A 16609-nucleotide genomic window follows, 5' to 3' on the forward strand; every position below is an offset into this window, starting at 1 on the left:
TTTCACCACATAAACAGAATCAAAAACAAAAATCACAGGATCATCTCAACAGACACAGACAAAGCCTTCTATAAAATCCAACATCTCTTTATGATGACTCTCAGCAGACTAGGCATAGAAGGAGCAGACCTTAGAATATTAAGAGCCATCTATGACAAACCCACAGCCAACATCATACTGAATGGGCAAAAGCTGAAACCATTCCCCTTGAGAACTGGAACAAGACAAGTGTGCCCACTCTCACCATTCCTATTTAACATAGTACCAAAAGCCCTAGCCAGAGCAATAAGGCAAGAGAAAGAAAAAAAAAAGGCATCCAAATAGAAAAAGAAGAAGTCAAATTATGACTCTTCACTGATGATATTATCCCATACTTAGGACAGCCTAAAGACTCTGCCAAAAGGCTCCTGGAACTGATAAATGAATTCGGTAAAGTTTCAGGATACAAAATCAATGTACAAAAATCAGCAGCATTTTTATATACCAGTGACATTCTAGCTGAGAACCAAATCAAGAACACAATTCCATTTATGCTAGCCACAATGAAAATGAAAAGTATAGGAATTCATTTAACCAAGGAGGTGAAAGATCTCAACAACAACAACAACAACACCACCTAAAAACACTGCTGAAAGAAAGAAATCAAAGATGACACAAAAAAATTGAAAATATCGCATGCTCATGGATTGGAGAAATCAATATAGTTAAAATGGCCATACTACCCAAAGCAATTACAGATTCAATGCTATCCTTATCAAAATACCAACGTCATTTTTCGCAGAATTAGAAAACTCTATTCTAAAATTCATTTGGAACCAAGAAAGAGCCTGAATGGCCAAAGCAATCCTAAGCAAAAAGAACAAAGTCAGAGGCATCATATCGCTTGACTTCAAACTATACTTTAAGGCTACAGGAATCAAAACAACATGATACCAGTACAAAAATAGACACAGAGAGCAGTGGAACAGAATAGAGAACCCAGGAGTAAACTGGCACACCTACAACCATCTTCAACAAAATTAACAAACATAAGCTATAGGAAAAGGACTCCCTAGTCAACAAACGATGCTGGCATAACTGGCTAGCCATATGCAGAAGCATAAAACTGGACCCTTACATCTCACTAAATGCAAAAATTAACTCAAGATGGATTAAAGGTTTAAATGGGATACCTCAAACTATTAAAATCCTAAAAAAAAATCTGGGAAATACCATTCTCACCATAGGCTTTGGCAAATAATTTATTGTTAAGTCCCAAAGGCAATTTCAACAAAATAAAAATTGATAAGTAGGACTTAAGTAAACTAAAGATCTTCTGCACAGCAAAAGAAATTACCAATGGAGTAAACAGAGAGCCTATAGAATGGGAGAAAATATTTGCAAACTACGCATCTGACAAATCTCCAATATCCAGAATAGAAAGGGAACTGAAGCAAATCAACAAGCAAAAAAGAAAAAAATTCTATTAGAAAATGGGCAAAGGGCATGAACAGACACTTCTCAAAATAAGACATACAACTGTCCAACAAACATTAAAAAATGGTCAACATCACTAATCATTAGGGAAATACAAATCAAAACCACAACGAGATATCATCTCACATCGGTAAGAATGGCAATAATTAAAAAGTCAAAAAACAAAAAACAAAAAGAAACAAACAAAAAAAAGGCAGATGCTGGTGGGGCTGAGGAGTAAAGGAAATGGATATACACTGTTGGTGGAAATGCAAACTAGTTCAGCCACTGTGGAAAGCAGTTTGATTTCTCAAATAACTTGAAATGGGATTGCCGTTTACCCAGCAATCCCACTTCTTGGGTATATACCTAAAGAAAAATAATTCATTCTATCAAAAAGACAGATGCACCTATATGTTCACTGCAGCACTATTCACTATAACAAAGAAATGGAATCAACTCAGGTACTCATCAAAGGTAGATTGGATAAAGAAAATGTGGTACGTATACACGATGGAATACTATACAGCCATAAAAAGAATGAAATCATGTCCTTCACAGTAACATGGATGGAGTTGGAGGCCATAATCCTAAGTGAACTAACATAAGAACAGCAAACCATACACTGCATGTTCTCACTTATAGGTAGGAGCTAAACATTGAATACACATGAATGTAAAGATGGCAACAATAGACATTGGGGACCACTAGACGGTGGAGGGAGGGACAGGAGTGTAGGCTGAAGAACCACCTGTTGGGTACTATGCTTACTTTCTGGGTGATGAAATCACTGGGACCCCAAGCTTCAGCGTAATGCAATTTGCCTATGTAATAAACCTGCATGTGTATCCTTTAATTTATAATGAAAATTGAAATTATTAAAAAATTTTTATTTTTTACTTAATTTTTTTTGTTGTTGTTGAAACTAAGACCAAACATACACATTAGCCTGTTAGCCTAGGCTTGCATGGGTCAGGATCATCAACATCATTGTCTTCCACCTCCACACTTTGTCTCACTGGAAGGTGTTCAGGGGTAGTAAGATGCATGGAGCTGTCATCTCCTAGGATAACAATACCTTCTTTTGGAATCCCTCCCGAAAGACCTGCCTGAGGTTCTTTTACATTTAAGATTGTTTTTTATAAGTAGAAGGAGTACACTAAAAAATAACAATAAAAAGTGTGGTGCATACATAAACCAGAAACATAGTAGTTTATTATGATTATCAAGTATCATGTACTGTATATAGTTGTGTGTGTTGGCCTTTTATACAGTTGGCAGCACAGTAGGTTTTTTTACACGAACATCACTGCAAACATGTCATTAATGTGTTGCACTACAAAGTTATGATGGCTGAGATGTCATCAGACTATAGGAATTTTTCGGCTCCATTATAGTCTTATGGGACTGCCATTGTATATGTGGTCTGTCACTGACTGAAGCATCATTATACAGTGTGTGAGTGTGCATCTATGGCAAGAATAGCACAGAAGTGATGTTTTCCTCTCCTTGCATTCTATCAGGTTGCACTTGATTTTGACATATCCTATTACTTATGATGTTCACTTTGATCATTTGATTAAAATAGTATCTCTCCAGCTTTTCCATTGTAAAAGTAAGCCTTTTCCACTTTACACTGAATAGGCATATTTTGTGGGGTAGTGCTTTGAAACTATGTAAGATTCCTCTTCTTCATCAAACTGTTAATGAATTCACTTGTACTAGTAGGGGGTTCATGGTTTTCTATTTAATTTAATGGGTTACGATCCATTGCTGCATTTTTTAAATCAACTTTGTCAACTAAGACATAATTACATATTATGAAATATAGCTGTTTTAGATATACGGGTTGATGAGTTTTTAAGAATATGTGCACCTATGTAACCACCACACCAATCAACATATAGAAATTTTTCTTTATTTTTCCTTTTTTAAATTTTATTTATTTATGTATTTATTTTTGAGACGGAGTCTTGCTCTGTCGCCCAGGTTGGATGGAATGCAGTGGCATGCTCTAGGCTCACTGCAAGCTCCGCCTCCCAGGTTCACGCCAATCTCCTGCCTCAGCCTCCCTAGTAGCTGGGACTACAGGCGCCCACCACCATACCCGGCTAATTTTTTGTATTTTTAGTAGAGATGGGGTTTCACCGTGTTAGCCAGGATGGTCTTGATCTCCTGACTTCGTGATCCGCCCGCCTCGGCCTCCCAAAGTGCTGGGATGACAGGCATGAGCCACCATGCCCAGCCCTTTTCATTTATTTTTGAGACAGGGTCTCACCCTGTTGCCTAGGCTGGAGTGCAGTGGCACAATCACAGCTGACTGCATCCTTGACCTCCTGGGCCCAAGTGATCCTCCCACCTCAGCCTCCCAAGTAGCTGAGACCACAGGTGTGCACCACCATGCCTGGCTAAACTTTTTATTTTTTGTATAGAGACAGGGACTTTCTATGTTGCCTAGCCTGGACTTGAATTCCTGGGCTCAAACAATCCTTTCACCTTGGCCTCCCAAAGTGCTGGGATTATAGGTGTAAGCCACTGTGCCTGGTCCAAAAATTTTCATCACCTTAAAAAGTTTCCTGGTAACTATTTGTGGTTAACCTACTTAACCACTTAACTGTTTTCTGTCAAAATACCTGGATTTTTCCTCTTCTAGAATTTTATATAAAGGGAATCATACACTATGTGCTCTTAAAACATAATGTGTTTGAGATTCACCCTTGTTATTGCATGTATCCATTGCTCACTCCTTTTCATTGCTGAGTAGAATTTCAATATATGGATATACCACTATTTATATATTCTCCAGTTGATGGACATTTTGGGTTTTCCTATTTAGAAGCAATTTTGAACAAAATTGCTGTGAACATTTGTAAACAAGTCTTTGCATGAACATATGTTTTATTTGATATGTATTTATTGAACTTTATAACACATTGCCAAACTGTTTTCCAAAGTAACTGTAACATTTCGTAATCCCACCATCAATATATGAGCTCCAGTTGCTCTACATCCTCATGGACATTTAGAATTGTCCTTTTTATAATTAGCCGTTCTTGGTGAGTGTGTAGTGTATCTCATTGTGGTTTTAATTTGCATTTCCCTGATAACATCTTTTCATGGGCTTTTGGCCATTTGTATACTTTTGGAAGAGTCTTTTTATACATTTTCCCCATATTTATTGGGTTGTATGCCTTCTGAATAATGTGTTTCAAGAGTTGTTCATAGCTATATATCCCTTGGTGAATTCATCTGGGTATAAACATAGGATAAATTCTTACAGATGTAGTTGCCAAGTCAAAGAATGTACTTTTTAAACTTTTGAGAGATCTGATTAATTACCCTCTATAGAAACTGTACCAATGTATAATCCCCTAAACAATGTAGGAGACAGAACAAAAATATCAATATTATAAAGTTCAAATTAATTTTCAAATTTTATAGATATCAAAAAACGTGGACACAATGCACCTGGGGTAGAATTTCTTCCACATTACTTCATATAATATAGAGAAAATCATTGAAATAATGGAATGTAGCCAAGGATTGTTAAGTTTTTAGGAGAAAATTTCTTTGCAGAAATTTTGGTTCTTTGCAGAACCAAAAAATTTTATTGTTATGGCAAGATTCTGGTATCAAATAAATGCTCAAAAATAAAATTACAAATTAGCTTATAACAAAAATTTATTATAACAGGTCCTAATATATGAGTATATAAATTCAATTTGCCTAATTAATTAAATATATTTGGAAAAAGCCTCTCTTTATTTAAAATATTGCTACAATAGAAGACACTGCTGTAAATATATTTAAATACCAAAGATAAATTTTATGGTAGTGTAAATAGATCAAGGTGACAAAATTATTCAAAATATAACTCTTTAATGAGTGCAGAGTTTTAGTTGGGGAGGATGAAAATGTGCTAGAGATGGAGAATAGTGATGCTTACATACCAGTGTAAATGTACTTAATGACACTGAACTATACACTTAAAATGGTTAAAATTGTAAACTTTATGTTACATATATTTTACCACCATAAAAAAATAGACAAAATCTAACTATTGTATTAGTTCAATATTTTTCTGTATATCTATGTATATTTAAATGATTTCACACCATATAAAAGCTTTTTATCTTACTAAAGTGAAAACCAACAAAAAGCCACTTCCTGCCCCTAAGTTTTTTCTGTAACCCTTTGTTTTAATTCTACATTATATCAATGTACTTATTTCATATTTCATCAGATAATATATCTGTTTCTAAAACCTATTTGAAAGCTTTTAAGAGGCAATGAATAATTATGTAAAGTCATTATCCCATTACCTTTTTCCCCAACTAATCTATTTTGCAAATATGGGTTTTCATACGTGGAGTTTCTTAAACACCTATATTATTGTTAAAACACTTTGTTTGAGTTTTCTTAATAATGATGATTCCATTGTCTGTTTGTAAACTCCTCAAGTTTTTATTGACAAAGAAGACTCATCATTTTCAAAAGAAAAGGTCACTATATGAAATAGTCATGGTTCTGACTAAATAAAGATTTATAAAGACATTACAGATTTTATTTACTGCAATTATACTGAAAGCTGTTTATCATAGAAAACAAACAGAAAGGATTATCTCCTTCACCAGTACAGCATTAAGCTTTTATGAGGAAATAATTGTATTTTACATAATGGCATTTGTCAATGCTAAAGGTTAGCATGTCCAAATATAAGATAAATGATAACAATTTCCATTTGTGGGTTTTAGGTTTCCAAAGAGTTTCCATTGCTTCTTTTGATGGAGCAGTCTGGAGGCACAGTATCAAGGGGTTTTATTCAAATATTTTACAGATGAGATAACTGAGGTTTAAAAAAATTCAGTGAGTTACCCAAAATCACACACTGAAAGACCTCCATCTTGAACCAGGATTCTTTGTGTCATTCCCAGATTGTCTCCCATGACTATAGTAACAGACTACCTTAATCCTTGGTTCATCACTAGTTACAATTTTGTATCACAAGCAACAAAGAGGCTGGCAGAGTATGTGGAATTGTGTAATGCCACTGTTACCAACGTAGGAACAGCTCAAAGAACATATCTTCATGGTGTCACTGGCCTACTTTTTATGAAATAATAAAAGCTCACAAAATTCTGTAAAGTTGACCTACCATTTCTGCATTTATTATTCTATTTGATATTCAGGTATACTTAAAACACATCTGTGAGGTAGCAGATAAGGCAGATGGCTGACAAACTCTTCATTTGGTAAATGGATAAACCAAAGCTTAGGGAAGCCAACAGATTCCTGAAGCTCATACGGTCAAGTGTGTTGCATAGTTGAGTTGAGATACAGTGCTAATTGTGCCCAGGTCTTCTTAGTCCAAATATTAAGCGAGTTTCATTAATGTGGAAGATAAATAAAAATATGGTGGATTTCATTACCAACATTATCTAAACTTTCTAGCACCTAATAACGGCATCTTATGTTAAATGAATATTTTCCAGTCTAAAGTTTTAAATTTTCACCTCTAGAAGATACATTTTTGATTAAAAAATTATACCCAAATAGCTCTGCTTAAGATATTTGAGCTGAATTCAAGAAATCCTTCGGTTTCACAGCAGAGATGTGTAATGCCTAAGCTCTCAAGCCAGTTACTGAGAAAAGCAACTTGATATTTTTTTTCTTTCCTCTCTAAAAGATGAAAATGAAGAGTTTTCTCCTGAGAAAAGTGAGGCATTGAAATATTTTCTGCCAAAAGAAATGTTATTAAAAAGGTGAGGTGTGTGCAACAAAATTCTGAGGTACCCTTCTATAAAATTAGAGATTGAATTCCCTCCTCAGTAATTACATAAATCATATTTATGGAATGCTGCTTTTCACCAAATGAATAAATCATAGCTGCTAAATGCTGAGTATACCCATGTTCCACGTACAGGTCCTGTGGTCCCTGTTGGAATCTTGTTCCCTTGAACCATGCATTCCAGCCTCTGGCTGCCAAGTATTTTTATGTCTTCAATAAACTAAACTGAACCAAGCTATTATTACTGAATTGCAGACTATTAGAAGCCGAATGTAGCTGTTGGTGTATCACCATGGGAAATAAAAACTTATTATGTTCATTTTGTATGTAACCTAGACAGTTGCATTTGCAAGCAATCAGCATTTGCAGGGGCTGTTTCAGATCTGGAGAGGTTTGCACAGGAGACCTCATCATGGTTTCTATGCCTGCTTGGGATTCCTAAGCTACCTGCCACAGAATTAATTGTGGAGAAATTGAAGGATCAAAGTTGTTTCCCAGGTTGCAGTGATACCTTGTTCAGTTGCTTAAAATAGTCTTGTTCTTCATGCACACATAAGTGGGCTCTGTGTAAAAACAATAATAATAACAAAATAAAGTAATGGAGGATGAGCAAGAGCCATGTACATGGATTGCATGAGGTTAAAATCAACAATAAATTTAATGTTATAGACATTCCTCTCCAAGGAGACTGTAAATTTCCAGAGAAACATTGATTTTTAAAACATTTCTTAAAAAGAAATAAAAAGTTGTTTTTCCTAACACAATATCTATAGCATAAGTAGTTTGACTGCTAGCTAGTATCTCTACCTCCATTAAGTGGAAGCCAGAAGTAGATATAAAAACAAAGCCCAGATTAAAGCAATTATCAGTTTAATTATTGAAGTCTCTCCTAGCCAAAAAGCTATCAAAGCCATAGCTAAGTAATCCATATAGCACAAGGTTCCAAAGCCATGTAAAGTGTTTTAGGCAATAACTACACAAAATCTGGAGACTTTCTCAAAATTTATCTTATGCTCTAGTGAGTTAATAAAATTAATCATTTTGTTAACTACTTAACAGAGAAAAAAGCATTTCTCTTGCCCTAATTTGAAAATAAATTGTCCTACTAAATTTTTCTATTGCTATGTAACCAAATTCTCCTGCTTCAAAAAGGATATAAACCTCATGCAACAGAGTTCTGTGTCTTCTAAATACAAAAAGGATTGTATTCAAGCCTACTAACTCTGTTATTAGAACAATCTAAATCTATCACTTTTACAATATTAGGTCCTCTCCAAAGGTCTTCTTCAAAATGACTAACCAAAAGCCAACAAATGTAAAGAAATGGGAAATTTCACTTTCTTTTTATTAGGAGGATAAATAATACTCTAAAAAGGAAGCAGACAACCATGAAGTGGAAATTCGAGTCCATATCAAAAGAATGACAGCATTTTCTTGTCTCGCTCTTGCATTTACACAGAGATCCTTCCAAATGATTTAAGAATAACACTTCCTTTTTCACCTGTGGTGGGCAAAATAATGGCCTCCAAGTATGCCCACATCTTAATCCTTGAAACCGACAAATATGTTACCTTACATAAAAAAGTGGATTTAAGGTAAAATTTACCCAAGCTAAACATCATAGAGAAATAAGATTTGAAAAGTGAACAGTAAACCCACTTGTAATCTCCCATAAAAAATAATTACAGAAGCAAAACATCTCTAGATTTGTTTCTGCAACTCAGCGATGGCAATATTTCTGCCTGTTGCTCAGCGTGTAGGACTTTTCCTCAGGCTTGTTGCTTTGTGGTCACAAAATGGTTACTAGAGGTCTGAGCCTCACATCCAATGGCAGGAAGGAGAATTTTTCTTTGTTTGGTTTGTTTTTTGAGTGAAGTGTTGTTTTTGTGGGATAAAAGCTCTCCCAGACACCCATGTTATGACTTCTTCTTGACCGTTTAAACATATGCACATGCTCTGGGTGTAAGGAAGACTGTAAAAGCAAGCATCTGGCATTTTCAGCTTGTAAAATGAGAGACAATCTCTGCCAGTAGTGAAAGAGGGGAGTGAGGAAGGCTGGGGAATGGCTTTTGGGTCAGAACCAGCATGGCTTAACAAATTCATTTTTAAATTGCCAATAAGTTCCTAAGGAAAAATTTCACAGATTATTACTTCCTCTTTCTTTTCTTTCTTTCTTTTTTTTTTTTTTTGAGATGGAGTCTCGCTCTGTCGCCCAGGCTGGAGTGCAGTGGCGCGATCTCAGCTCACTGCAAGCTCCGTCTCCCGGATTCACCTTCCTCTTTCATTTCTAATGCCACAGAATTGTCTCAAACCCTATTGTTTTACCAGCCTCGCCTCCATTAGTTTCAATTTCCTTCCATCCATAGGATAAGCTAGATTGTCAACAGTATCCTTGATTACCTCATTGCTTCTTTCCAAACTCCACAGTAGTTCACAATTGCCTTTTGAACCCAATGAGGTAATGGATTGTGTCTTTTTAAGGATTTCCATCACAAAAGTGTCTTTTGTGGTATTCCCAAAAATTATTCCCCAACCTCATCTCCTTTCAAGCATTTTATTGATAATCATAAAGAAAAGACAAAAAACACACCAAATATAAGCTCGGTGAAAATACAAAAACTATGAAGTTCTTATGGTTACAATCTTTTGTCTACAGCTCCTCGTCACCTTACGTCAATACTAACCTAAGGGTGAATCTTACCACTCGACCCAGGGCTCCCTCCACCACCATATCTCAGGTTCTAAAGTACAGTAGAGGCTGTGTCTTCCCCAGACTGCAAATCTGAAGAAGAGATCCCTCTTGTCTTCAGCAGGTAATTTCTTGAAATTCAGACTGGCCGATGTCAATTTCAGTGATTTATTCTGAACTGCAGAAATGTGATATCTCAGATCAGAACTTCATAAAATAACTCAATAAATCATAAACTTTTCCGTGATTTATTCCCATTTTCTAAAAATAAAAATAAATATCTCCTCATTTTTCTTCTCTACTGCAACTTCCATTAATACATATGTTATATCAAATACCAGATATAAGTAAAAAGTTGATGCCATAAATATCAAGAAGAAAAAAGAAGGAACTTATCACAATTATTTGTTTTACCACAAGAATATTCCACACCTCATTTTTTTTAAGGTCTCATGCAAATCGGCCAATATGTTCATTTATTCATCCAACAAATACTTATTAAATGTCTACTATGGATTGGCATGTGAACTTGCTCCCAGTAAATGAGTCATCTGGGAATGGAAATGTTAATACAGTTGTGTCAATATTGCATGTCAATATTTGACTGAATAAAGGTGACTCTAGTACAACCACTGTCGTCACAAGGCATCTGAATGGACATTAAGAAGGAGACATGGGGTGAGGGTAGGGACATGTGTCCACCTTTTTCCTCAGTAATTATAAAACCTCAGAACTGGAACACTGCATTCCCTTGTGTAACTCCATAAAGCTTTGAAGGTTGTTTTGAATGCATCATTCACAAAACAAATGATTTGAATTGAACTTCTGACAATAATTTTTAAAAATAAGACTTCTTACTATTCACAAGAATATTACAGATAATATGTAGATAACATAATCATCTGTAATATTAGATTTAGGAATTACTTTAGTAGTAAAGAAAACTAAAAATTAAAATTCAGACAGGTTATCTGATATTTATGTATTTGAACATCACAGACAAAATAGCCTTTAAGAATATGTAAAATGTTGTCCACCAAATTATTGACCAAATATCATATAAGGGAAGGAATGTACCAGATTACATTTACAGTGCCCATGGCATGGTTTTTAAAGAAAATACTAAGAACATTGCCAGTGTGAAGCAGCCTCAACTTGGTGCCCAGAACAGAGTTAACAATATGAGAATAATGAGTCTTTATGATTTTTCCCCTCAGAAATATAGAAGATAGTGTCTTTGTAGGAATGAATTATCATCTAACTGGAATAAAATCCTAAAGATCACAAATCCTTGTGTAAAACTGTATCTTTATTTTCTATATCTCACCTTGCTCTGGCGCTTCCATGCCCATGACAGCATCAGAGGAGGATAGGATGGGGAGAGGGATTTCTAAAAATTGCCAATTAAAAGTAATCCAGCGTCTTCCAAGTTAAAAGGGTCCTTTCAGGTAAATATTCATTCAATTCCCAGTTCAAATCCCTCTAAGAGGAAAGTTTAAATCATCTTTTTACTTCCTCCCCTCTTCCCTGTCACTCTCTGTATGTTGGGATCTGGGTGCAAGGGAAGTTACGGCAGCCAAGAAAGACCTGTGGTCTTTATTCTGCCCTTTAGGACATTACTGCATCCAGAAAGATGGCACGCTGAGCTCTCTGGCTTTTGCAGCATTGCCTCCCACAGCAAGGTGCATTCACTCCACCATTTTCCCACCAGATCCCAGGTTTCCCAATTTCTCACCACATCCTCATTCCCCCACAAGGACAAAGGGGCTGCTTAGGATGTCCTATAAGCTGCTCCTGAGTGGTGACAAGTGAGAGTAAAGTCTCTCTGAAGAATCTCAAACCAAACACCAAGCTACTCGGAAGTGGGAAATGGTGTCACTGGCTCCCTAGGAATAGTCCTCAAACTTATGAGGATATTTTAACTCTCCCCACTCACCTCCTATGAGTTTCAAACGAAGGAGGTTAGAAGTTGGAATTCTCTCTTTCTCTCTCTCTCTCTCCTTGAATATTCCCACTTCCAAGTCAACACTAGATGTTCTCCTCCTTTATCTTTCTAGAAGAAACTACCCCTAAGTCACATCCTTCTCCTTCTTTAGGTGGTCTTCAGCCAGAGTTAGAAGGCCAGAAAGGCTTCAGGAAAAGGAACTGGAATGTGGGGAAGGTAATGCACAAGTGATACATTTTGAATCTGTTATACCTAAATTAGAGCATGCTCAGTGAGCTTTGAAAGTCTCAAAAATGCACTCAATAAATAGAACTGTAAGTGTCCCTCTATTTTCATGGCTTGGTGTTTCAAAACTGGGGTGTGGCCATCATCATTAGGGAGGATTCCTCTAGATCTATTGAGAGCAGAGGTCCCTCCCTGGGTCTTGGACATTTAAAGGTTGTAAATTTTTCATTTCCTTGGAAGTTAATCATATTTACCCTATCAAAGGATACACCTTTACCAAGAGAGAGCCAGTCTTCAGGAAACTGTCCAATGTGATATGGGAATTTAGTCTCCTAGACTTACCTTGCTATTGATGACTGTACCATAAACTTGGTAAAAATTAATTAGGAGGCTACATATAAAATTTCAGATATTACCATTTCTCATTATTTTTAGTTTAAAAATATGGAAAATAATATAACAAGCTAAGGCACCCTAGATTTAAAAGCAATTCACCAACTAGGAGAAGATTGCAACATAAATAAAAAACACAAATAACTTTAAATCAATATGAAAACCACAAACAATATAATAGAAAAACGAGAAAAGGACACTTACATTAGAGGAGGAATTTCAAATAGCCAATAGCATGAAATGACAATTTCACCAATAATTGGACAATTGCATCCTGTAACAATAATGAGAAACTATTTTTATCTATTTACCTCAGATTAGCAAAACTCGAAAATTTGTCAGTACCAAAGTTGTACAGACCAGAAATGAAAACACTCGTATACTGTCGGATAATGTGAAAATTACCATCACACTTTAGAAAGTATATGGATGTACAAAAGAAAAGATTGTTAGATATAGAATTAATTTTTAAGTTTAAAATGTTGAAAACTAATACAAATCTCTATCAGGAGAGGAGTAGATAATTGTGGTATTGTTATATAATGGAATACAGTAGTCTGCTAATTTGAATAAATAAGCTCTATAGACATGTTTATATGTTTTTATTACAAATGTATTTTAAAATAACACATAGCTACTCATACTTTTACTGATTATAATTTTTATAAAAATTACATAAATTATTTACAAAACATTCTCTGGAGTTGGAGAGATTGGACTTTGGAGAGGAACAACGGAGATCTTTCCCTGCACTTTAAAGTAAAAATAATGAACTATTAATAGCTAACAATATAGTAAACTATTATAATCGAGGTTTATAATAAACTGCTTTGTTAGGTTTCTTTAGTCCCTAAAATTTGAACTTTCTCCTGCTTTTTAAAACTACTTTTACTTTTGGAAGAATCTAGATCACTGTGATTATTTTCTCATGTTATCATTTAACTATTTTCTCTAGCTCTTGTATTTTCTCTAGACTGGAAGTTTGGCTTAGAAGTGTGTAAATTGAAGTTAATATTTAGAGAAAAAATATTTTATAGGTAATGGAGTGTGTACACCATATTGTATCATATCAGGGGACATAACATAATATAATCTAATTATTAGTGATAGTAAATTCACTCACTTTTTGAAAGAGGTAGAAGTCAAGTCTTGCCACTGTGAAGGTTCATTTTTCTCATTTGTAATTATCAAGTAATGTGTGATGAGATACTTTGACACTACGCACATCTCCTGACGCTATGTACAAATCCAGTCACTTTTCATGCAATGGTTTTTGTATGCATTTTTGAGTTTCTCCTGAGTTTGGAGGAATGACAAAATGAATATTTTCTGATTCTATCATTCTTTCTATAAAAATGAGCTTTTCTTAGTCAATATCCCTGTAGCCATCTTTCTCCTTTTATTTAATCATTTAGAGTATTACAGCTGACTCATGGATTTGTTTAATTCAACCAATTATTGTCCTGAATGCTCAATCGTTCCCAGATCTAAACAGTGGAACTGCTTCAAGCTGGTTCCATGGCTTTAAAATAATCTCATTTGTCTTTGGACATTCCTTTGCTAATACATGCAACAACATGTCCCAAGCTCACTCTGTACTTTCCTGCCTTAGATTTGGAATTAGTTTTCTCCAAGGGGCCCTAATTCCTTTTGGTTGAAAATTATTATTTAGAAAACAGAATTTGAGCACTATGTATGCTCATTGCCACTGGAGGATCATTGCTTTCAGGCCACTTTAGTGGAAAAAGCTGAGGTGTGTATGAGTGTGTGTGTGTGTGTGCATGTGTGTGCACATGTGTATATGCATGTGAGAGAGAAAGCGAGCTCATATTGTTAGTTACATACATATTTGTACCCCTTTTAATTAAAAATCTTTTATTATAATATCGATTTATTTACTTTATGTTACAATATAATGAACTAGTTTCAACTGTACAATATATATACTCAATAAGGTTTAATATTTAGTGCAATATATGCACTAACAATAAATGCACCGAATAAGGTTTAATGTTATTAAACATTAAACATACTAACATACTAAGGATATGCAATCAGATTATTTTGCCCGTAATTAGTTGAACTTATTCTGTTCTCTATGATTATATTATCAAGTTGATATATTGTTGAGTTCATACATATGCCTGTATTCAATTTTAGAGTTTTCATTTTGATTCCTTTTAATTTTAAATGTATTTTGAATATATAAAGCATTAACATTATCCAAAACTGAAAACTACATTGAGAAGAATTGCTCCCATTTCCATCCTCTCTACCTTATTCCTACCTATCCCCTAAAAGTAACAATTTTAATTAGGAGATCTGAGACACAGGAGTCAAAACTAAAAGGTTTGAAAGGAGTAATGAATTTGTTTTGATGATCTCCAACTGCTTCTTTCCTCAAGAAATTTCCTAATGGGTGCAGATAGAGACTGAGAACAAGGCTTGGCCACAGAGATCTAATGCTAGGGCACAGAGAAACCAGCACATACTCTAGTGGTTACACAGGTTTGTAGTGGCAATACTGGAGACACAAGAGAAAGGGGGAAAATGGTAGACTTAATTAAATTAATCTTCAAACAAACTTCCAACCACATCAACCTAGCAGAAAAAAGGGTGAACCATTGCTGTTGGAAGACAACATCATTTCGATTCTCTCCTGATATTGTTTGGCTGTGTGTCCCCACCCAAATCTAATCTTGAATTGTAGCTGTCATAATTCCCATGTGTCATGAAAGGGACCTGGTGGGAGGTAATTGAATTATGGGGGCAGGTCTTTCCCATGCTGTTCTTGTGATAGTAAGTCTCACAGATCTAATGGTTTTATAAAGGGGAATTCCCTTACACAAGCTCTCTCTTTTCCTGCCACCATGTAAGACGTGACTTTACTCCTCATTTGCCTTCTGCCATGATTGTGAGGCCTCCCCAGCCATGGGAAACTGTAAGCTATTTAAACCTCTTTCCTTTATAAATTATCCAGTCCGGGGTATGTCTTTATTAGCAGTGTGAGAACAGATGAATACATCTCCTGTTTTTAATATACAATGTCCAACATTCATTCAATCCAAAGTCACCAGGGATGTGAAAGAGTCATGTCCATATGACCCATAATCAAGAGAAAAAAATAGGAAATGAAATTAGAGCCACAGTATTATTGCAGTTAACAGGTAAGGACTTTAAAATAACTATGATTAATATGTTCAATAGAATAGAGCAAACATTGGACCAAGTGGATGCAAAGAAGGAGAATTTTAAGAGTCAACTGGAATTTACTTTTCTAGGAATCAAATGAATATTCTAAAACTAAAAAGTTACTCGCTGAAAAAAGCATTCAATAGATTGGAGACAAGTAAAGTTAGGAGTAGGAAACTGGAAGACAGGTGCAATTGAAAATATACAACCTAAACCAAAGAAAAAGAAAATAAAAATAAAACTAAAAGAGTGTCAGACATAAATACAATGCAGTTGAAAGATCTAACATGATATAAATATGGTTTAAGAAAGAGAAAATTGGAAGAAGTAATACATTAGGAGATAAAGACCAAACATTTTTCAAATATGAGGAAAGACATAAATCATAGATTCAATAAGCTCAGCAAACCCAAGATGAAATCTATAAAACAAAATATATAAAAATAAACCACATCAGAGTAAGATAGCCAAAACCCAAAGATGTAGAGAAAATTTAAAAATAGCTACAGGAAAGATATATTTTTCTGGGTACTCACCCTCATCCCTAGAGGTAGCAGCTGCTCCTACTTTGCTGTTTTGAAAGTCCTTAGAATTGTCTCTTGCGTCATTAGTGGTTAGGTTAGCTAATAAATTTGTTTCTTGTTGTTGCTGTAAGAAACTACCACAAATTTAGTGGCTTAAAAGTAACACAAATCTACTACTTTATAGTTCTGTAGGACAGAAATCCAAAATGCATTTCACTGGGCTAAAATCAATGTGTTAGCAGGCCTACATTCCATTTGGAGAATCAAGAGGAGAGCATTCCTTTGCCTTTTCCAGCTTTTAAAGGTTGCCTGCACTCCATGGCTCATGACCTCATCTTCCATCTTCAAAGCCAGAACCATAGCATCTTCAAATGTCTGACTATGACCCTGATTTTTTT

General features: G+C 35.1%; 1 long non-coding RNA gene across 4 annotated transcripts in view; it reads right to left on the bottom strand.

Annotated features, from left to right (window-relative positions):
- Positions 1 to 8568: 8568 nt before the first annotated feature.
- LINC00470 (long intergenic non-protein coding RNA 470) overlaps positions 8569 to 16609 on the bottom strand; it is a 91319-nt gene continuing 83278 nt past the window's right edge. The window contains exons 3-6 of one of the 4 annotated variants that reach the window (NR_023926.1): positions 16224 to 16345; positions 13619 to 13791; positions 12700 to 12769; positions 8569 to 10110 (exon numbers count right to left, since the gene is read on the bottom strand). This is a non-coding gene — a long non-coding RNA (long intergenic non-protein coding RNA 470). The remainder of the gene's footprint in view (positions 10111 to 12699; positions 12770 to 13618; positions 13792 to 16223; positions 16346 to 16609) is intronic. The other 3 variants (NR_023925.1, NR_110327.1, NR_023927.1) reach the window with 3 other exon arrangements.

Source organism: Homo sapiens, chromosome 18 (genome assembly GCF_000001405.40).
Source record: "Homo sapiens chromosome 18, GRCh38.p14 Primary Assembly".
Lineage (NCBI taxonomy): Eukaryota > Metazoa > Chordata > Mammalia > Primates > Hominidae > Homo > Homo sapiens.